We start from the raw sequence: 24,139 nt of genomic DNA on the forward strand, positions 1-24,139 counted from the left end.
GGAGGCCAAGGTGGGCGGGTCACCTGAGTTCGGGAGTTCGAGACCAGCCTGATCAACATGGAGAAACCCCATCTGTACTAAAAATACAAAATTAGCCAGATGTGGTGTTGCATTCCTGTAATCCCAGCTACTCTGGAGGCTGAGGCAGGAGAATCACTTGAACCTGGGAGGCAGGGATTGCAGTGAGCTGAGATGGCGCCATTGCACTCCAGCCTGGGTGACAAGAGCGAAACTCCATCTCCAAAAAAAAAAAGAAAAGAATCAGAAGAATCAGGCCATGCTGGGAGTCCCCCTTAAGAGAGTTGTTTTCCCTTATCTTATCAGCAATATATTAACAATTCCCTAAGCCTCTCAGCAGAGATTGTACGGGAAAGCACTTCTGAAAGCCTTGGCTAATATTTTTAACCAGCCAGTGCACACACACTATTGCCAATTATATCCATTGCATATGAACTTTTCTGTAACTGCACAGCCATGTATCTGTGCTGTAGCATAACTCCATGTTGTCAGATGAGTGATTGGAACTCAGGCTTCTCTGACATCAGGAGGCTTCTCCACATCACCCTACGCGGTGGAGCCCAAGTTTATCAGGGTTGTCGGTCAGGGAAGGCATCTCTGAGGGCATATATTTAGGGTGGGATCCTGTTAAGCATTAGCCGATTAGCATTAGAGAGTAATGCATGGTATTGCATGTCATCTAGATGCTGGAGAGTCTGGTAGTTTTGAAGAGCCAAAAGAAGGGCAGTGTCACTGGATTATTGTGAACTAATAAGGAAGTGGGGCCAAATGTGGTTGGGGAGGTAAGGAACAGTGGCTGAACTTATTGCTTGTGGATTTATTACCTTACTTAATAGTTTGATGAGAAAATACATTATTATATGCAAATATATTTTTAGTGATAATCTCATATATTTCTCTCTTGAAATCGAGTGATATTCCAAATATATAGACTAGTGTTATAATGAAAAAACTCAAAGTGCAACTTTTTTTCCTATAGTGTTATAATAATGTCATTTTTATTCAAAACTGGGCATATCTAAATGTATAGTATAGGGACTGGGCATGGTGGCTCACGCCTGTAATCCCAGCACGTTGGGAGGCTGAGGCGGGCGGATCACTTAAGGTCAGGAGTTCAAGACCAGCCTGGCCAACATGGTGAAACCCCGTCTCTACTAAAAATACAAAAATTAGCTGGGCATCGTGGCACATGCATGTAATCCCAGCCACCCGGAAGGCTGAAGCAAGAGAATTGGTTGAACCCGGGAGGTGGAGGTTACAGTGGCCCAAGATTGCACCACTGCCCTCCAGCCTGGGTGTGAAAGAGAGACTCTGTCTCAAAAAAAAAAAAAAAAGGAAAAAGTATACTGTAGGGAAAATTTTATGAAAGAAGTCTTTATGGCCTGGCGTTGTGGCTCATGCCTGTAATTCCAGCACTTTGGGAGGCCGAGGCAGGCAGATCATGAGGTCAAGAGATCGAGACCATCCTGGCCAACATGCTGAAACCCCGTCTCTACTAAAAATACAGAAATTAGCTGGGCGTGGTGGTGTGCATCTGTAGTCCCAGCTACTTGGGAGGCTGAGGCAGGAGAATCGCTTGAACCCAGGATGCAGAGGTTGCAGTGAGCTGAGATCACGCCACTGTACTCCAGCCTGGCGACAGACCAAGACTCTGTCTCCAAAAAAAAAAAAAAAACCGTCTTTATCATGTGATTTTGGGTAAACTAATTACTGTTGACCTTTACTAAATCTAAAATCCAGCCTTTTACGTATGCTGTGGTGTTGTCAGATTAGATTATATTTGATTACGGACAAAGAGAGAATCTATTTTGAATTCCTACACTATGCCAGACAGATGATAGACATTTTACATATGTATTTTGATCCTCACATTGGTACTTCCAGGTATGTTTTGACAAACTCTTTTTTTTTCTTTTCTTTTTTTTTTTTCAGATAGAGTCCTCACTCTTGTCACCCAGGCTGGAGTGCAGTGGCACAATCTCGGCTCACTGCAGCCTCCACCTCCTGGGTTCAAGTGATTCTCCTGCCTTAGCCTCCCCAGTAGCTGGGATTATAGGCATGTGCCACCATGCCTGGCTAATTTTTTTTGTATTTTTAGTAGAGACGGGGTTTCACCATGTTGAGTGGTCTTGAACTCCTGACCTCAAGTGATTCGCCCACTTCGGCCTCCCAAAGTGCTGGGATTACAGGTGTGAGCCACCATGCCGAGCCTCGTATTGACACATTCTATAACTGAAGCTTAGAGGCTTACATAACTTGATATGTAAAGTACTAAAGCCCAACTTTGAATCCAGGTTTTCTTTACTTCTGTAGCCTGTACTCTTTCCACTCCCCATGATACCTGCAGAATGATCCTGATGTCTGTTGTATTTGCACCTTGCTTCTGCATGCTGCTTGATATTTGTTACGATGTAGTAAATAGTCCATTTGAAAGAGTGGGAGAGCACTCAAAGAGTTTGGGGTTCTGGCTCTAATTCACTGCTGTCTGTTCACTGACTGCCTAAAATGGGCCTCAGTAAGATGTAAGCCTCATAGGAAAGACCGTGGTCCTTGATTTGGTCACTACTTTATGCATAGAACAGGCCCTTAGTAAACAATTATGTTGAGTAAATGAGTAAATGAATATCTGGTACTGTGCTATGTGGCATATATATATATATATATATATATATATTTTTTTTTTTTTTTTTTTTTTTTTTTTTGAGACAAGGTCTCACTCTGTTGCCCAGGCTGGTGTAATCATGGCTCACAGCAGCCTCAACATCCCGGGGCTCAGGTGGTCCTCCCCACTCAGCCTCCTGAGTAGCTGGGACCAAAGGCACATGCAACCATGCCTGCATCCATCTCTCTCTCTCTCTATCATCTGTTTATCTATCTATCATCTTTTTTTAATGCATACAGAATTTGAAGAGATTGGGAATGAAATCAAAGTATGAGAGATTCTGGAAAGTAAATGACTCAGACATATGTGATATGTGTTCTGAGTAATAATTCAACTGTAAATATTGGCACAGTTAAACATCAAGAAGAATTATACTGAGCAATCAAATGAACAAAGACGTATTGACCATATGTGTAATGTTGTATTAGGTACCATAATAAGTTACTCTGTAAGGAATTTTTTCCTTCCCTAGATTAGATGTATATGCATGGAAAAATGAGAAAATAAAAATAACAGAAAACTGAATAAAATTAGTGGTATGTTATGTTGCAGATAATACATCAGATTGGAAGGTAAAGCATCTTTAATTTTCTTCTTGAGGATTAACAACATTGGAAAACTCATGAGTTGGATGATCCTAGAGGCTTGGGGCTTGGGAGTGTGTGTCTGTCTGTGTGTGTTTGTGTGTGTGTATGTCTATATATGTGATGTTGACAACGAAGGCAGTTCTTTGCAAGCAGCTGAGAGTGGCAGATGTATGAGGGCAAGTTGATATGGTGGCAGTTGTTAGATGTTTCTGTGAGAACTTCCATGGTAGGGATAGCCAAGAATTCAACTCTGTGTCCTAGTTTCCAGTGCAATAAATGCTCCTCACAATTTAAAAAAACTTAATAACATCTTCAGAATCTATTTATGGCTTACACTGAATCTGTTGGAGAGAAGTTTTTATTGTAACTTGATGATGTATAGGCAGAGTGCGGTGGCTCACGCCTATAATTCCAGCACTTTGGGAGGCTGAGGTGGGTGGGTCACTTCAGGTTAGGAGTTCGAGACCAGCCTAGCCAACATGGTGAAGCCCTGTCTCTACTAAAAATACAAAAGTTAGCTGAGTGTGGTGGCAGGTGCCTGTAATCCCAGGTACTTGGGAGGCTGAGGCAAGAGAATCACTTGAACCTGGGAGGTGGAGGTTGCTGTGAGCCCAGATTGCGCCACTGCACTCCAGCCTGGGTGACTGAGCGAGACTCTGTCTCAAAACAAAACAAAATTAAAAAATATATATAAAGTATAAATGTGGTTCAGGGTAGGACTTTAAGGAAGCGGTGGGACTTGAGATGCATGGTGCCTGGAAAGATAGATAGAATGTGGATGGATTAAGACATTCCTAGACATTCCCAGGGGAGATCACACAGTGGAAAACAAATGCAGAGAAGCAGGAAGGAATCAGGCGGTCTTAGGGAAAACAATAGGCCAGTCACAGAGGCGCTGAGAGTTAAGGTTTCAGGACATAAGGGGAAGGTTGCTTTAGGCCTTACTTTGGCAAGTCTTCAAGGTCAAGTAAAGAAGTTGGGAGGTTGTTTGCTCAAAGTGAAGTTCAGAAGATGTTTCAGAAGGGGAGTGATATGATGAAAGCTGTGCTTCGTAAGATTAGTTTGGCCCAAGTGTGCAGGATGGATTAAATCAAGTTTACAAGCATTGTTCCTTAGATATTTATCTCCTCCTTTAAAAACTAAGAAAACACAAAATTACACAAGGAGAAATTGCTCTTACATTGCTGTCAAAAGGCACCGTATTATTCTTAGTTTTTATTTTATTTATTTTTCGAAGAGGTAATACATTCACATAATACTAAATCCATAAGATACATAAGTAGGTGGACCGTATAATTCATCATACAAACCAGGACAGTTTTGAGAGAGAGAGAGAGCAGGAAGGTCCTCTGTATGATTATGTTGGGACATAAACTGGGTCTTTTTCCTTGAGTGTCTAACGGTCCACAATATAAATCTCCTTTCCTCTGTGCCCATCCCACCTTATTCTCTTCCTCAGATGAAATCCATCTTAGCAGTTCTTTTTTGTATCTTTCCAGAGATATTCTATTCAAAACCAAGCAAAATAGTCTTCCTCTTTAAACTTTTTTTTTTGTTGTTGTTGAGACAGAGTCTTGCTCTGTTGCCCAGGCTGGAGTGCAGTGGCATGATCTCGGCTCACTGCAACCTTCGCCTCCCAGATTCAAGCAATTCTCCTGCCTCAGCCTCCTAAGTAGCTGGCATTACAGGCACCTGCCACCATGCCCGGCTAATTTTTTTTTGTATTTTTAGTAGAGATGGGGTTTCACCGTGTTGGCCAGGCTGGTTTCAAACTCCTGACCTCAAGTGATCCGCCTGCTTTGGCCTCTCAAAGTGCTAGGATTACAGGTGTGAGCCACCGCACCTGGCCATGAACTTTTTTTTTTATTTTAAATTTTTATAGGTACGTAGTAGACATATATATATATATATATATTTTTTTTTTTTTTTTTTTTTTTTTTTTTTTTTTGAGATGGAGTCTCGCTCTGTCACCCAGGCTGGAGTGCAGCGGCATGATCTCGGCTCACTGCAAGCCCTGCCTCCCGGGTTCATGCCATTCTCCTGTCTCAGCCTCCCGAGTAGCTGGGACTACAGGGGCCCACCACCACGCCCGGCTAATTTTTTGTATTTTTAGTAGAGACAGGGTTTCACTGTGTTAGCCAGATGGTCTCGATCTCCTGACCTCGTGATCCACCTGCCTCGGCCTCCCAAAGTGCTGGGATTACAGGCGTGAGCCACTGTGCCCGGCATAGTAGATATATATTTATGGGGCATGTAAGATTTTTTGATAGAGGCATACAGTATATAATAATCACATCAGGATAAATGGGGTATCCATCACCTCAAGCATTTATCATTTCTTTGCATTACAAACATTACAAGTCTTGCTCTGTTGCCCAGGCTGGAGTGCAGTGGTGCGATTATGGCTCACTGCAGTCTGGGCTGAATCGATCCTCCCATGTCAGCCTCCTGAATAGCTGGAACTACAAGCACATGCCATCACGCTCAGCTAATTTTTGTAGTTTTTGTAGAGATGGGGTCTCTCCATGATGCCCAGGCTGGGTTCGATTATTATTATTTTTTTAAATATAGACACCTTGGATAGACACTACTCAGTTTAAGATACAGCATATTTCCATCACTCCAGAAAGTTTCTTTTTCTATTCCCAAGCAATACTACCTCCTCCAGAGATAACCACTATTTTTGACTTCTGATACTATATGCTAGCTTAACTTCTTTAAGTAGAACCATATAGCATGTTCTTTTTTTTTTTTCTTTGAGATGGAGTCTTGCTTTGTCATCCAGGATAGAGTGTAGTGGTGCAACCTTGGCTCACTGCAACATCCGTCTCCAGGGTTCAGGTGATTCTTGTGCCTCAGCCTCCTGAGTAGCTGCGATTACAGGTGCTTGCCATGACACCTGGCTGATTTTTGTATTTTTGGTAGAGACTGGGTTTCACCATGTTGACCAGGGTGATCTTGAACTCCTGGGCTCAAGTTAATCTGCTTGCCTTGGCCTCCCAAAGTGCTGGGATTACAGATGTGAGCCACCTCACCCGGCCTAGTGTGTTCTGATTTATGCCTGACTTTTTTGTTTAATTGAAGGCTTGCTTTTTTTTTTTTTTTGAGAAGGAGTCTCACTCTGTTGCCCAGACTGGAGTGCAGTGGCATGATCTCCGCTCACTGCAACCTCTGCCTCCAAGGTTCAAGCGATTCTCGTGCCTCAGCCTCCCAAGTAGCTGGAATTGCAGGCACACGCCACCATGCCTGGCTATTTTTTTTGTATTTTTGGTAGAGACGAGGTTTTGCCATGTTGGCCAGGCTTGTCTTGAACTCCTGGTCTCCAGCAATCTGCCCACCTCAGCCTCCCAAAGTGCTGAGATTACAGACGTGAGCCACCATGCTTGGACTAATTGAAGGCTTGTAATGTTCATTCAATTTTGTGTGTATCAGTGATGTGTTTTTACTGTGTATATTGTATTACATTTTATGAATATACCACAAAGTATTCACATTGCTATTGATCAACATTTGAGTTGTTTTTAGTTTTTGCCTTTTGTGAATAAAACTGAACTCTCTTCTGAATGCCTTTTGTTTGACATGCGTATTGATTTCTCTTGGTATATACCTACAAGTGAAAAACTAACGGGTCACAGGGTAGATGTATATTTAGCTTTAGTAAGCTGCTGGTTTTCTGGAATGTTGCCAGATTAGACTGTAGTAGCAGTGTTTGAGAGTTTTAATTATCTGCACCAACTCTTGATAATGCAAGTCTTTTTTTGTGTGAGACAGAGTCTTGCTCTGTTGCCCGGGCTGGAGTGCAGTGGCATGATCTGAGCTCACTGCAACCTCCGCATCTTGGGTTCAAGCAATTCTCCTGCCTTAGCCTCCTGAGTAGCTGGGATCACAGGCACCCACCACCATGACCGGCTAATATTTTTGTATTTTTAGTAGGGACGGGGTTTCACCATGTTGGCCAGGCTGGTTTTGAACTCCTAACCTCAATTGATCCACCCGCCTGGACCTCCCGAAGTCCTGGGATTACAGGTGTGAGTCACTGTGCCTGGCCAGTCTTTTAAATTTTAGCCATTTTGGTGAGTATGTAGTAGCAGCTGATTGTGATTTGAATTTGCAATTCCCTGATGAGTTAAGATGTGTTTTCTATGCTTAGTAGACATTTAGATATCTATGTGAACTATAGGTTCCGGCCTTTCCTTTGTTTTTATTGGAGTGTTAGTCTTTTCCTCAGTGATTTAAAGGATTTCTTTGTATATTCTAAATACAAGTATTTGTGAGATGTATACATTGCTGATATTTTCTCCCAGCCTGTGGTTTGCCATTTTATTATCATAATGCTATCTTTTGATAAGTAGTTTTAAGTTTTATTTAAGTCAAATTAGTTAATTTATTTTCTTTATGGTTAATGTGTTTTATGTCCTCTTTAAGAAATCTTTGCTTACCCTTAGTTTTGAAGATATTCTTCTAGAAGGTTTATAGTTGTGATTCTTGTGTTTTTGTTTTTTTGTTTTTTTTTTTTTTTGAGATGGAGTTTCACTCTTGTTGCCCAGGCTGGAGTGCAGTGGCGTGATCTCGGCTCACTGTAACCTCTGCCTCCTGGGTTCAAGCGATTCTTCTGCCTCAGCCTCCCAAGTAGCTGGGATTACAGGCATGCGCCACCATGCCTGGCTAATTTTGTATTTTTAGCAGAGACAGGGTTTCTCCATGTTGGTCAGGCTGGTCTCAAACTCCTGACCTCAGGTGATCTGCCCATCTGAGCCTCCCAAAGTGCCGGAATTACAGGCATGAGCCACCACGCCCGGCCTATAGTTTTGATTCTTACTTTTAGGGTTACCTAAACTGAATGTTTTGCATTGTATTTTATTTTAAATCATGTTTCCTGGAGATTATCCTATATCAATACACTTGCTTTTATTGTGTCTATACCTGTGGATGTACCATAGTTTATTTAACCTTCTCTTGCTGGGCATTTAGTCTCTTTCCATTATTTTACTAATACTGTAACACTACAGGGAACATCCTAGCACCTATGTAATTTTCTACATGCGCAATTATTATTGTTATTATTATTATTTTTTTGAGATGGAATCTTGCTCTGTTGCCCAGGCTGGAGTGCAGTGGTGAGATCTTGGCTTCAGGCATGAGCCACCACATCTGGCCCCACATGTACAATTATATCTGTAGGAAAAATCCCTAGAAGGAGGCTCTGGTGTCAACAGATTAGTTCATTTGTATTTTTGATAGGTATTTGTATTTTATAAGAGTGAACCATTTTATACTCCTGTCAGCAATGTTTGAGAATAAAAACCTGTTTTAAGTTAGAAATATCTATGCAAATAAACAAGTAGAGATGTGGCTCTTTCCAGCGCGCGCGCGCGCTCGCACACACACACACACACACACGCACACACACACACACTCCCTCTCTCTCTGTCTCTCTCTCTCTCACTCTCTCTTAAAAATTCAACTGTATTTGCTATGGGTTAAAATACATGTTCCCTGGGCTGGATGTGGTGGCTTATGCCTGCAATCCTAGCACTTTGGGTGACCAAGTCAGGAGGATTGCTTGAGCCCAGGAGTTTGAGACCAGTCTGGCCAAAATAGGAAAGCCCTGTCTCTAGTAAAAATTTAAAAAATTTGCCAGGTGGTGTGGCATGAACCTGCAGTCCCAGCTACTCAGGCAGCTGAGGTGGGAGGATTACTTGAGCCCAGGAGATAGAGGCTGCAGTGAGCCATGATCTTGCCACTGCATTCCAGCCTGGACAACTGAGTGAGACCTTGTCTTAAAACAAAAAACACCAAAAAGCTATATATATATATATATATATATATATATATATAATTATATTATATAGAATATATTATATACAAATATTACATATAATATAATAAAGTATATAATATATATAATATAAGACTATATAATGTATTCCACAAGAAAGGTGTCATGTATTGCTACATCTTCAGTGCCTAGGAAAGAACTTCACGCTTAATAAATATTATAGAAATTATGGGTTCTTACACATATAAAATATATTTCTTATTTTATGACTTAGAATAACATATTTCCTTGATTTTAATCTTAACCATTATAAGTATTAGTTCACTAACAAAAGAGGTTAAATAGTCTAGGTTAAGTAATGAAGTTTTTCTTAATTCATGCACCTTTCTAACATGACACTGCTTAAATATATCTGACCTTTGATTACGGTCAGAGTTAGAGTCAGAGTTAATGGTGGAATAACTTAACTGCTAGTTTTATTTATACTTTATTTTAATTGACTTTTTGTGTGTGTGTGTGACAGAGTCTCACTTTGTCGCCTAGTCTGGAGTGCAGTGGCGCGATCTCGGCTCACCGCAACCTCTGCCTCCTGGGTTCATGAGATTCTCCTGCCTCAACCTCCTGAGTAGCTGGGACTACAGGCGTGCACCACCATGCGTGGATAATTTTTGTATTTTTAGTAGAGATGGGATTTCACTATGTTGGCTAGGCTGGTCTCGAACTCCTGACCTCAGGTGATCAGCCTGCCTCGGCCTCCCAAAGTGCTGGGATTATAGGTGTGAGCCACTGCGCCCGGCTTAATTGGCTTTTAAAGGTAATTATTCTTGGGCCAGACATGGTGGCTCATGCCTGTAATCCTGGCACTTTGGAAGGTTGAGGCAGGAGGATTGCTTCAGCTCAGGAGTTCGAGACCAGCCTGGGCAACATGGCGAAACCCCATGACTACAAAAAATACAAAAAAATTAGCGGGGCGTGGAGGTGCCTGCCTGTAGTCCCAGCTACTCTGGAGGCTAAGGTGGGAGGATTGCCTGAGCCCAGGAGATGGAGGTTGCAGTGAACCGAGATAGTGCTACTGCCCTCCAGCCTGGGCAACAGAGCAAGATCTTGTCTTTTTTTTTTTTAAAGTAATTATTCTTATATATAATACATATTTATTATAAAACTGAAACAATGTCAAAAATAATGGGGAAGAAAGTCACAAATTATCCTCATCTCATCAGTCAGAAGTTCCTAGTGTTAATAGTTGGTAAGCATCAATGTTGACATCTGTTTATGCTTATACGTTGGCATATTCATAGCATATGACAAACATAAATTATTTTATAAGGATGAGATAATAACATTTTTGCTAATTTGAAGCAAATAAGTATACAATTTAATTGAATTTAACAGAAGAACAATTAATTGAAGTGAAATAGAGGGTATTGCTCCAGTTTGGCTACTGTTTATTCTTTACAAAAGTAATCATTACTAAAAGATCCTGTGGGGGTTGAGAGGAGATTATGAAAACCCTTAAGATGTTGAAGTCATTTCACGCTTCTTTTTTTTTTTTTTTTTTTTTTTTTTAAGACGGGGTCTCACCCTTTTGCCCAGGCTGGAGTGCAGTGGTGTGATCTCAGCTCACTGCAACCTCTGCCTCCCGGGTTCAAGCGATTTTCCTGTCTCAGCCTCCCGAGTAGCTGGGATTACAGGCCCCTGCCACTGCGCCTAATTTTTGTTTTAGTGGAGACGGGGGTTTCACCATCTTGACCAGGCTGGTCTCGAACCCCTGACCTTGTGATCCATCCACCCCGGCCTCCCAAACTGCTGGGATTACAGGTGTGAGCCACCATGTCCTGCCTCATTTCATGCTTCTTTAACTATTACCTACATGTTCCATCATGTATTGATTTCATGTTCTGAGCAATGATTAGCATTCGAACATTCGTTCCTTCCATCTTCCCTCTCTTCACTTCCCAATTGCTGCTAATTAACTACTTGTACTTAGTCAAAGTTTACTTCACCTTTATATGTAAATACTTTTACTTAGTAAGTGCTGTCAGGTACTTTTACTTACTTTGCATAACCTAACTCTAGTCAAGTTCCATAACATGTAAATTCTATACTGCAACAATAATTCCCCCAATTTGCAGTTGACTGAGATAAGGCATAGAAGTGGGATGAGGTTGAAGAGAACGTACCACAGGAGGCCAAGCCTTGCGGGGCTGAGTGCTGTCCTTATAGGGTTCAGGGGTCAGCCCTCTTCCCAAGACCCCAGCCAATTCCCTATGCTAGGCATCCTCCACCCAGCCAAGGGTGCGTCCCACTCCCACATGAAGGTACGTGGCAAATCCTGGCAGCACCTTTGGTCTTGGTTCTGGGCCTGAGACTTTCTTCCTTAAGGGTATTTTTGTTGACTTTTCCCAGTGTTAATTTATTATTTCATTGTATTTTCCCCCCTTAGAGATTTTTGGTAGCATAATTTAGATTCAGTCAACTGGCCTTTCTTCCCCTCAGTATTGTCTTGGTGAGGAAGGAGCAGTGAGGTGCTGTCCACACAGGCAGCACTTCAATCTTTTGCTTGGCTTTATCCTTTCAAGTCCATAACCTAAGTTTGTTCTCCTTTCTTCGGTTGTTAATAGGACCAATTTGTATGACCTAGGAAAAATAAAAAAAAAAACAAAGAAATAAATAGAGATGTTTTTGAGAAAAAAATGTGTTGGTAGAATTCTGCCTTAATGTGTTTGTTCACCACCAGAAAATTGAAGAGATTTTCAATATTCTATCTTTATGAATGAAATGATGTACTTAACATTTTATTTGTTAAAATTATGGTTCTATAGATCATATAAAGATTTCAAGATAAAAAAATCTTAAGATTTTTTGAGACAGGGTCTCATTCTGTTGCCCAGATTGGAGTACAGTGGCACAGTCACTGCAGCGTCGAGCTCCTGAGCTGAAGTGATCCTCCCACCTCAGCCCCCCAGGTAGCTGGGGTATAGGCATGCACCATCATGCCTGGCTAATTTTTTGTTAGCTAGGAGTTTCACCATGTTACCAAGGCTGGTCTCTAACTCCTGGGCTCAAGCGATCTGCCTGCCTCAGCCTTCCAAAGTGCTGGGATTACAGGCATGCGCCACTGTGCCTGGCCCAAAAAACTCTGTTTTTTATTGTGATAAATGTTTGGGGTACCTTTCAAACAATGTAAGATATTTTATGAAACAGAACAAATTTTACTAAGAATTTCCACATACAACTATTTCAGAAATGATAGTCATCCTGAAAGTACTACATTTTAAGAATTAATATTAATAACATCATTCTTTTTATTTTCTAATGACTCTCAGGAATATGGTATATAATAGGAATTTGGTTTATTAAAACTTATTTTATTTTTTGAAATAGGGTCTTGCTGTGTCACCCAGGCTGGAGTGCAGTGGTGCAGTCATGGCTTACTGCAGCCTCAAACTCCTGGGCTCAAAGGATCCTCCCACCTCAGCCTCCTAACTAGCTGGGACTATACGCACATGCCACCAGGCCTGGCTAATGTTTTTCAGTTTTTATAGAGACAGGGACCTATTATGTTGCCCAGAGTGGTCTTGAAACCCTGGGCTCAAGTGATCCCCACCTCAGCCTCCTAAAGTGCTGGGATTACAGGTGCAAGCCACCATGCAAGGCTAAAACTTATTAAAGCTAATGAATATTATAACTGTGGAAATATAACTTTGGAAATAATGAGGCCATTTTGATTTTTTATCAGCAATTGTGTAATATAGTGCAAAGAACATGGGGTTTGGAGTTACATAGCATTTGAATGCAGGCTCTGCCATTTATTATCTATGCAAATTTAGATAAGCTGTTTAGACAAACTACTGTGAACCTCCCTTTTTTCATCTGTGAAATGGGGATAACATAACTATTTCTAGTGGTTGTTGTGAAGATGGTACCTATTAACATCCCTAAATAAGAGTATGTGGTCAATAAATGGAATATTTGATTTAGTGTACTACTAATTGGAGGTTCAGTCCTGAAAGGTGACATCCCTTTTAGGTTGTCCAACCACCCTCACAGTGTTTCCAGTTACTCTCCAGCTCCTTATCCTCCTTTAGTTTTCTTCATAACAGTCATCTTCATGCGTGAAATTATATTTCATTCTTATTAGTTACTTTCTTTATCTACCTTTAAGATGTAAGCTTTATGAAGGCACGGACTGGCTGTACTGTACCCCCCAAATCTAGAACAATGCCTGGAACATAATCGGCATTCACATATTGTTTGATCGAATGTGTAAATATATTTACATTTTTTTTTTTGAGGCGGAGCCTCGCTCTGTTGCCCAGGCTGGAGTGCAGTGGCTCCACCTGTGCTCACTGCAACCTCCGCCTCCCGGTGGCTGGACAGAGCCACCACGCACGGCTAATTTTTCTATTTTCAGTAGACAGAGGGTTTCGCCATGTTGGCCAGGCTGGTCTTGAACTCCTGACCTCAGGTGATCTGCCTGCCTCAGCCTCCAAAAGTGCTGGGATTACAGGCATGAGCCACTGCACCCGGCCTACATGTTTTAAAATAACTAGATTCTTAGTTAGTTCAGGGAACCTGCAAATAAATATAGAGAAAATAAACAAGCATGTTTTTCTACCTTTACACAACTTACTTGTTGGTTGACTGAATTGACTGCTCAGTTTAGTTTAGTTAGTTCAACTAGAACTGGATTTATAGACTCAATCCCAGTGACTGACATTAACACTACGGATGTTTGTTATTGAAGCTCATATGATATTTCATTCGTTATTTCATAAAAGTTATATCACTAGGTGGTTCTACTTTGTTTTTCTTATATTTGACCCCTAAATGGAAGGAAAGCCGAAAGAAGAGTTGTCTGTGAAATTTATATTGGAAAGCAAAATCTTCAAATTCCTCTAAAACCTCTTTTCTAAAACAGAGTGCTAGTGAAAGATTTCACACACACATACACACATACACAATGAATCCTGGTTTTTCAAGAAATGTCTTTTGGGGGAAAGGGACTCCCCTATTTGAGATGTTTCTTTTTTCATAGAAAGTATTTCATTGTGGAAGGATTATGTCTTATTCTGAAATATCTAATGCTTGCTAAAAATTTACTTATTTATTTACTTATTTATTTTTTTGCAACAGTCTTGTTCTGTCGCCCAGGCTGGAGTGCAGTGGTGTGATCTCGGCTCTCCGCAACCTCTGCCGCCTGGATTCAAGCAATTCTCCTGTCTCAGCCTCCTGAGTAGCTGGGATTACAGGTACCACCACACCCAGCTAATTTTTGTATTTTTTAGTAGAGGTGGGGTTTCACCATGTTGGCTGGACTGGTCTTGAACTCCTGACCTAAAGTGATCTACCTGCCTTGGCCTCCCAAGGTGCTGGGATTACAGGTGTCAGCCACCGCACCCAGCCAACAATTTATTTATTTTGTAAAAGATCATGCAATCTTCTGTAGTTTAAAATGTCAGGTTTTACCTCTGTTATATTCCTCTATCATTCAAATGCCTTTTAAATAAAATGTACCTTTTTTTATAAAAAAAATTTATTTTTCAAAAATTTAGCACATTCATGGTAATGATCCTTTAGTTTTTATGTGATCCAAATAAAATATTTGCTTTAAAGTTTGAAAAACAATAGTAATGAAAGGATATGTTGGCTGGGCGCGGTGGCTCACACCTGTAATCCCAGCACTTTGGGAGGCCAAGGTGGGGCGGGGGGAGCATCATCTGAGGTCGGGAGTTCGAGACCAGCCTGGCCAACATGGAGAAACCCCCATCTCTACTAAAAACAGAAAATTAGCCATGCGTGGTGGCAGTCACCTGTAATCCCAGCTACTCAGGAGGCTGAGGCAGGAGAACCACTTGAACCCGGGAGGCAGAGGTTGCAGTGAGCTGAGATCTCACCATTGCACTCCAGCCTGGGCAACAAGAGTGAAACTTCATCTCAAAAAAAAAAAAAAAAAGAATCCTGGAAAGGATATGTCTTCAGTTTGAACTTGTCCATAAATTGCAAGAGAAAAGAACACTGGTAGAAGGATTAGGCAAGAGACGGTTTATTTTTGCCTGACTTAATGAAAGTATTGAAAATAACAGGCTGAGGCTGGGCACAGTGGCTCACGCCTGTAATCCTAGCACCTTGGGAGGCCGGGGCCGGCTGTTCACCTGAGGTCAGGAGTTCAAGACCAGCCTGGCCAACATGAGGAAACCTCGGCTCTGCTAAAATACAAAAATTAGCCGGGCATGATGGTGGATGCCTGTAATCCCAGCTATTCAGGAGGCTGAGACGGTAGAATTGCTTGAACCCGGGAGAGGGCGGTTGCAGTGAGCCGAGATCACGCCACTGCACTCCAGCCTGGGCGGCTGAGTGAGACTCTGTATCAAAAAAAAAAAAAAAAAAAAAAAAAAAGAAAATAACTGTCTGCATTGTTTGTTTATGATCTGTAGCTTTGCATATTTTCCTTTATTTGTAATCTCATTGCTCCTTGATATTTTATTTTCGCCATCACAGTCTAAGAAGGAGAGATTGGACCTTGGTCTTGATCTACTGCCATCTTGTACATAGATCTTTGAAATTCTCTATTCATTTGGTAAATATAATGGACAGAGTTAATACCAGGTACTATGAATGCTCACCTGATATTTGGTCCTTATGAAGGTGTAGATAGTTGTTAACTCCTTGTGTGTGCATGTTGGGGGATGGTCGGTGGAGCTTTTTATTCCACCATCTTGCTCCACCACTCTCCTTGACAGAGTTGGATCAGGGTTAAATTTATTGTCATCTCATGAAATCTAAATTTCTTTAAATTTTATGATCCCATTGGAATTTATTTAAGAAAAGTATAATTGCATAGTTGTTTCTGAGAGAAAAATAGAGAGGAAGAGATGATTTGCATGTCTCAAGAGTCAATGGGATTTATATTTAGAATTTCTTTTCCCCTGACATTTTTGGGTTGTGGATTAAGGTCCTTTCTGGGACCAGATACAGATGAAATTTCAGCCTGTTCCTTGTTTTCAGTTCCTTATGGCTAAGAAGATTGGTTTAGCCAATCTTAGTAGTTTTTGGCCTTCTCTATACAATGAAGATTCCATAGTAAGACCCATAGCAATGAAGCCAACCCAGGTCAGCTACAGCTGATTTATAGGTATCTTTTGGTTACCTATAAATAGTGCTGTTGCTGGTCGAAGCAGAATAAATAAATGAGATCAGAGACATTATTTGAGGAAAATGCTTAAAAATTTTCTCATCTAAATAATTTTACATTGGAGTTACATAGGGTGAGGAATGAGGATGCTGGTGTATTTCCTTTTTTGGGGAGAGAAAGATTCAAGCCCTTTGTTTGGACTGGGAATGAGGATTCTCAATGGTCAGTAGTCCTTGTTACAGAAACAGTTATTTGTTGGCATCTTTCTAAAGAGTCTTGCAAATGTAATCACATTTGGAATACATAATTTTTTATTTTTATTTTTTACTTTTTTGTCTGAGACAGAGTCTCACTCTGTCACCCAGGCTGAAGGGCAGTGGTGCCATCTCGGCTCATTGCAACCTCCACCTCCCAGGTTCAAGTGATTCTCTTGCTCTGGCCTCCTGAGTAGCCGGGACTACAGGCGCCCACTACCACACCCAGCTAATTTTCGTATTTTTAACAGAGATGGGGTTTCACCATCTTGGCCGGGCTGGTCTCAAACTCCTGACCTCCAGTGATTCACCCACCTTGGCCTCCTAAAGTGCTGGGATTATAGGAATGAGCCACTGCGCCCAGCCTATTTTTATTTTTATTTTTTATATGGAGTCTCTCTCTGTCGTCCAGGCTGGAGTGCAGTGGTGCGATCTTGGTTCACTGCAACCTCCGCCTCATGGGTTTAAGCGATTCTCCTCCCTCAGCCTCCCGAGTAGCTGAATTACAGGCATGTGCCACCACACTTGGCAAATTTTTGTATTCTATTTTTTAATTTTTTAAGATAGAATACATTATTTTCATTGAGCATTCTATGTAACAATTATTTCTTGATGTTGATTCCCTTGATATTGTCAATATCATTTTGAGCTGTGTTCATTTTTGTTTCATGTTACAGAGGAATAAGATCATCATAGTTTATCTATATATGGCACTGGTACGCTGGAATCTGTAATACTGAGTTGGTTTATAAGCACCAGAAATCCCAGAGAAACATCAACAAACTGAAAACATTTCAAAGAAATGTTAAAAAAAAAGAGAAAGCTTCTTTTTAAAAAGTAAACCAGGAGGAAAGACTAAAGTAAATGTTAATATAAATGGTTTGTTTCAATGTTGTAGGTTAAAAAGAAAATTTAAGACTGGGTGTGGTGGCTTATGCCTGTAATCCCAGCACTTTGGGAGGCTGAGGCTGGCGGATCACCTGAGGCCAGGAGTTCAAGACCAGCCTGGCCAACATGCATAAACCCCGTCTCTACAAAAATACAAAAATTAGCCGGGCATGATGGTGGATGCTTGTAATCCTGCTACTCGGGAGGCTGAGGTGGGAGAATCACTTGAACCCGGGAGGTGGAGGTTGTAGTGAGCCGAGATCATGCCACTGTACTCTAGCCTGGGTGACAGGGCAAGACTACGTCTCAGAAAAAAAAATAAATAAATAAAATTTAAGTATCATGAACAATATAGCAGGAGTATAGATTGGGATAATGGTTTTAAATTACTTTCAATTGGAGGATGCTTGTTCCTGGCTTCTCCACTTTCTGCAAACACTGAACCAGGGATGGTGTCCCAGGCTTCTTGCTGTCTACCTTGACATCTAGTCATGGTTCTATAACCTATGCCAACATCCACTCCACTTCTAAAATCTATGCACATACTCTCTTTCCCACCATCATAGGTAACAAACATCCTGGCCTTTTCTCTCCTCTGCCATGTAATCTGAAAACCTTGACTCTTACAGTTTTCTTCTTAAGTTCATGTCCTGTCATTACTTTGAGCAGCCATTGAAGACCTATTTAACACCTTTATTGAACAGTCATAGGAATCAAAATCTGGGTTTGAATTTTCGTTCTGTCATTTGGTGTAACGTTAGACAGATTCTCTAACTTCAGTTTTTCCATCTGTAAAATAGGGAAAATATGTTTTTAATTTTTTTTCTTTTTGAGACGGAGTCTTACTCTGTTGCCCAGGCTGGAGTGCAATGGCGCGATCTTGGCTCACTGCAACCTCCACCTCCCGGGTTCAAGCGATAATCCTGCCTCAGCCTCCTGAGTAGCTGGGATTACAGGAGTGTGCAACCATCTCCAGCTAATTATTGTGGTTTTAGTAGAGACAGAGTTTCACCATGTTGGTCAGGCTGGTCTCGAACTCCTGACCTCGTGATCCACCTGCCTTGGCCTCCCAAAGTGCTGGGATTATAGGCGTGAGCCACCACACCCGGCCTGGAAAATATGTTTTTTCACTGGTAATTGTAAAGTTGTAAAGTGATGGCTGTTAGTGGCTATGTAAATTAATGTGGCCATTATGGAAAGCAGTATGGAGGTTCTTCAAAAAATTAAAAGTAGAACAACTATATGATCCAGCAACCCCACCAATGGGCATATACTCAAGCGAAATGAAATCAGTAATGTGGAAGAGATATGTGCACTCCTATGTTCATTGCAGCATCAACTTCAGTGTCCATGAATGAATGAATAAATGGATAAAGAAACATGGTATATATACGTAATGGAATACTATTCAGCCTTAGAAAAAACAAGGAATTCTTGTCACATGTTATAACATAAGTGAACCTGAAGGACATTATTCTAAGTGAAATAAGCCAGGCACAGAAGATGAACACCACATGACCTCACTTATATATGGAATCCGAAAATGTCTAACTCATAGATGTAGAGAGTAGAATGGTGGTTACCAGAGGCCTGGGGAGGAGGGCAGGTTAGGGAGATGTTGGTCAAAGGATATAAAAATTTAGCTAGAAGGAATAAGTTCAAGAGATCTATTGTACAACATAGTTAATATACTTAATGTACAGTTGACCCTTGGATAACATGAATTTGAGCTGTGCGGGCCCACTTACATGTGGAGTTTTTTCAATCAAATGCAGCTTGAGGGATACATATATACTGAGGGTCAATTTGCATATATTTGTGTTCTGCAGGGCCAACTGTGGCTACGCGACTGTATTGTGTTCCTGAAAATCTCTAAGACAGTAGATTTTTTAAGCGTTATCATAATAAAATATAAGTATATGAAGTAATGCATTTGTTAATTAGCTTGGTGGAGCCATTCTACAATGTGCATATGTTTCAAAATATGTTGTACACAGTACATATATACAATAAAAGAAGAAATACATGGTTGTAAAGTGATGGTGCAGCATCACACGAGGTATATGTGAAACCATGCTGTAATTTGTAGTCTTATTTAGATGCCAGTTGTATGGTTATCTTTACTTACCGACATTCATTTGCTCAACCCACTCATATATCCACATTTTGTATTTTGTGTTATTTGTGAAGATTCTATTTTTGGTTTTATTCTCTAATTGCATCTTTTGTATCACAAATTTCTTGACCTTATTAGATCTTTTAATATTTTAAACACTTTCACTCATTTATTTAGTCATTGAACTCCTGGCTTCACTTTCCCTGCTACTGTTCATAATTAAGAAGCAATAGGATAGTGGATCTCTTCACTATGTCAGTTCTGAGCTTGAAGTATCCTTCATCTGGAGATAGTAAAACTCTAGGGAAATTTTAAAATGATATGTGGGATATTTCATTTGTTATTGACATTAGTGCTTGGGGTATGGATTAAACATCCTTAATGTATGGGACAGGCCCCTGAATCTGAATTTTTCTTGCAAAATGCCAATAGTGCTTCCATTGAGAGCACTACTAGGTGTGCAGGACTTCTATCCATCCTTTATGACATGGTTCTTAACTCTATTAGATTTGTTTTGCCATTTTTTCCCTCTGTGCTTCTGTATGTTTTTACTTATGCTGCTAATATATATCTGTTTGTCTTCCTCTTTAGAATATTAGTGGCTGAATTGAGAGAGAATCTTTGGGACATTCCTTTTGTATATCTAGAATATAACATAGACCCCCCATAGAGTTGGTGCTTATTATTTGCTGTATATGAATTTGGAATCTTTAATTGTTCTAGGAAAGATTCAGCTTCAGTTTGATAATCAGAAGCTGCTACATGGTTGCCATAGCTATGGCACTTGATTCCTTCTAGAGTTCTTTAAGCTACACGCTTAAAAGGAGAGCCTTTCTTATTAGGTAAAACCTTGTACTCAGATAATTTGAACTGGGAATTTCTGGGTTGTGAATATTTGGAAAAAATATGGTACAAATGTTTGGAAAAAATATTCAGCTTTGAGGTAGGGATTAAAAAGCTTTTGTTTTGTTTTGTTTTGTTTTGTTTTGAGATGGTGTCTCACTCTGTTGCCCAGACTGGAGTGCAATGGAGTGATCTCGGCTTACTGCAACCTCTGCCTTCTGGGTTCAAGGGATTCTCATGCCTCAGCCTCCCGAGTAGCTGGGACTACAGGTGTGCGCCACCATGCCTGGCTAATTTTTGTATTTTCAGTTGGCCAGGCTGGTCTTGAACTCCTGACCTCAGGTGATCCACCCACCTTGGCCTCCCAAAGTGCTGGGATTACAGGTGTGAGCCACCATGCCTGGCCTATTTTTACTTTCTGAATTTTATTAAAGCAAGGAACCCCACCCCCACTTTTTTTTTCTATCTCAGTTACTTTTCAGAGTGTTGTGTTCATTTGGGTCATAATGCTTTGAAAAAGTTGTTATAATTGGAGAAGAAAAATGGCCAAAATGATTTCAGGGATATAAAGTAGACTTTCTCCAGTGAAAGTCTATAGGGACTGGACTTTTTGCCTTGGATAAGGCAAATAAATGATTTGATGTCTGTTTTAATCTATTTTTATGGGTAAGATGTAGAGCAGTTATTGTTATTATTCATAGAACAATGAATAAGAGAATATTAGCTCATATCAGAGAAGAGGTTTTAGTTACCTAATGAAGAGCTCTTTGACACTAGGGCAATGAATCTTCCAAAAGATAAAGAAATAGGTCCGGGTCACACAGTTTCTATTAGCATGATGGAGTAGAAAGATCTTGGGCCTTCAGACAGTCCTGGCTTGGAATCTTAGTCCCAGTTAACACCTCTCAGCCTCATTATTTTTTCATTTGTAAAAGTGAGAATACTAACATGTATCCCAACATATGTACTAAGATTCAATGAGATAATGTGTAGACAAACACGGAGGAAACAATGCTAGCTCCTTTCTCCATTGTAGTGCTTGCCTGGCGTGTAATAAACACTCAGTAACTCTTCTCGGTCCTCTGGAGATACTTAAAGAGAGGTATGAGCATCTCTCCTAGATGACTTAGAAATTTACCTACCTAAAGGCAGGGAGTTAGACCAAATGTCTCTTTAAAAGTTTTTTACAGAATGAGTTCAGAGGATGCCTATTAAATGCAAGATTGTTTATATGCAGATCTTCGTGGATATAAATGTTGTTTTGTTTCAGAAGTTGGAGCCATTGACTTTTACATTTGTTCTTTCTACCCTCTGATCCATCAGTGCAGAAAACTGTAGCACAGAAACTGTAACTAAGAAACTTTTTCTTGAAGAGCAGCATGGAAAGATGTAAAATAATTTTTGAAATTATTTCTTAGTCTATTCCTTAAAATATCACAATTCCCCAACCTTCCATTTCATTTTCTCCCAGTCTTACTCTATTTAAACTCATGAGGACAGACAGGCTAGATGATATTTTGGGAATCTCACTGTGGGAGCTTAGTAAAAATGATTGAGATGGTTTTCAGTCAGTAGACAAGAAAATAGTGTGATCGAAGTATTAAGGCATTTTTGGAAATTTGTGGTTTTGTGTATTTTTCAATGTAGGCTGCCAATGAATTGATTCTTTCAATTATTTTCTGAAAAAAGTTTTGGTTTACATTGTTCAGATGGTAAAAGCATCTATGGCCATACCTCCCTGAACGTGCCCATCCTGCCTGATCTCTGAGTGGTAAAAGCATGTTTCTCTGTAGGTACATTAGATTGTTTGCAGTTCACTTGAGTTGCAAAGAACAAGCCATACCGGCTGGGCGCGGTGGCTCATGCCTGTAGTCTCAGCACTTTGGGAGGCCGAGGTGGGCGAATCGTGAGGTCAGGAGATCGAGACCATCCTGGCTAACATGGTGAAACCCCCGTCTCTACCGAAAATACAAAAAAAAAAAAAAAAAAAATTAGCCGAGCGTGGTAGTGGGCCCTTGTAGTCCCAGCTACTCGGGAGGCTGAGGCAGAAGAATGGTGTGAACCCTGGAGGTGGACCTTGCAGTGAGCCGAGATCGTACCACTGCACTCCAGCCTGGGCGACAGAGCAAGACTCTCTCTCAAAAAAAAGAACAAGCCATACCACATTAGGGCCTATCATTTCTTGACTGCAGTTGTAGAAATGACAAATTAACTCACACATTTAAAATTTTTGCTCTTTAGTGATTGTCTGAAAAGGAAAGATGAGGAATATTGATGTATAATAAAACAATATATGGAGAAAAGATGGTAGCAAAAAGAACAGAAGCTTTTGGATCAGAATTCCTGAGTTCTAGTTGTATCATTTACTCTCTGTGACTTTGACAAGTTAATTTATTGTCTAAATATTTCTTTGTTTTGAGACAGAGTCTTGCTCTGTCATCAGGCTGAAGTGTAGTGGTGCCATCTCAGCTCACTGCAAACTCTGCCTCCTGTTTTCAGACGATTCTGCTGCCTCAGCCTCCCCAGTAGCTGAGATCACAGGTGCGTGCCACCATATCTGGCTAATTTTTGTATTTTTAGAAGAGATGGGTTTCACCATGTTGGCCAGGCTGGTCTTGAACTCCTGACTTTAAGTGATCTGCCCACCTTGGCCTCCCAAAATGTTGGGATTACAGGCATGAGCCACGGTGCCCAGCCTAAATATTTCTCTCATGAATTGTAAAATAGTGATAATATTGGCACTTATAAAATTATCTTTTAGTGTTAAATCTGACAACATGTGTTAAAGCATTTTGAAAAACATGATGTTGGAAGCATACATGTTACAGATGTGAAAGAGATCTGAATACAGCTTATTAGTTTATTAAGTGCAAAATATTTAATCTGAACCTGATCATGAAGCCCTGAGGAAGGCATTTGAATCCAGAAAAGTGGTATAGGCAGCAGTTTTTGGATAAATTGATTTGGGGTCTCATCTTGACTTTGCTACTTAACATCTCACAGTATTTATTTAAATTGACTCTTCCTTAGCTTCTCTTCTGTAACAAAGATTGCTTGCTTGTAAGCCTTGTGTAGAGTAAGTTGGATGCTAAAATTTGACTATATGATATTATGATTTATAAGTTCATACTTTTCATGTTTGGAAGGGCAGAACATTTTAGTATAGTATTACAAAGACATTAATAATATTAGGTAATCAGGCACTTACAAGGGATCTGGAGAATGACACAAATCACTTTGTTACATTTTCCCTTGAGTTGCCTGGCTAATATGGTGAGTCCACCTGCAATGAAGATCAGAGAGAGTTTTTGCTTTCTTCTTTCCCCCTTCCTGTCAGTCTTTCTTTTTTCTTCCTTTCTTCTGGGGTCTCAATTCGTCATTTTTTTTTTCTTCTGGTTTGTGGTTTGTTGAGGTTTAGCTGGAGGTGTATGGGTGAAAGCTTCAAGTCTTTCAGGGTGTAATGAAGAAAAATGATCTTCCTGTTCTGGTCTGCAATGTAAAGACCTTTCTCTTGCTGGGATTGTTCACCACTTATAGCCTAAATTTAGTGCTTTGTAGTGTTAAGACTCTTTTCTCTGTCTTATTAGGGCTCTGTTTGTCAGTAATTAGTAGACACTGATCTCTAAACAACTCGTGTACTTTCCTGCTTGTTTACCTTTACTGATAAGAGGATCGAACTACAGGATCCTTTCAAGTTCTAAAATGGTGTGATTTAGACTGGAGGACTCCATAGTGTTACTGAGGTACATAAGTAATAGACTTTGTTATGCCTGTTTATAGATGAGGCAGTGGAAGGAGTGGAGTTCAGTGTTTTGAGTTACTAAATGGAATTTCCTTCAAGTAGGGGAATGTTAGTT

At 40.5% G+C, this 24,139-nt stretch overlaps 1 protein-coding gene and 1 long non-coding RNA gene across 21 annotated transcripts in view; one reads left to right on the plus strand and one right to left on the minus strand.

The window, feature by feature from the left end:
• The window catches only part of SUGCT (succinyl-CoA:glutarate-CoA transferase), a 903,812-nt gene that overhangs the window by 105,238 nt on the left and 774,435 nt on the right, over positions 1 to 24,139 (plus strand). The gene's annotated exons all lie outside the window — the stretch shown is intronic.
• The window catches only part of LOC105375245 (uncharacterized), a 57,295-nt gene that overhangs the window by 327 nt on the left and 32,829 nt on the right, over positions 1 to 24,139 (minus strand). Inside the window, exon 3 of one of the 2 annotated variants that reach the window (XR_927195.3) lies at positions 11,606 to 11,683. The exons of the other annotated variant lie outside the window; for it this stretch is intronic. This is a non-coding gene — a long non-coding RNA (uncharacterized LOC105375245). Of the gene's footprint in view, positions 1 to 11,605; positions 11,684 to 24,139 lie in introns of those variants that run through there. 2 annotated transcript variants of the gene reach the window in all.

The sequence above is a fragment of the Homo sapiens genome, chromosome 7, assembly GCF_000001405.40.
Source record: "Homo sapiens chromosome 7, GRCh38.p14 Primary Assembly".
In the NCBI taxonomy this organism is placed as follows: Eukaryota; Metazoa; Chordata; class Mammalia; order Primates; family Hominidae; genus Homo; species Homo sapiens.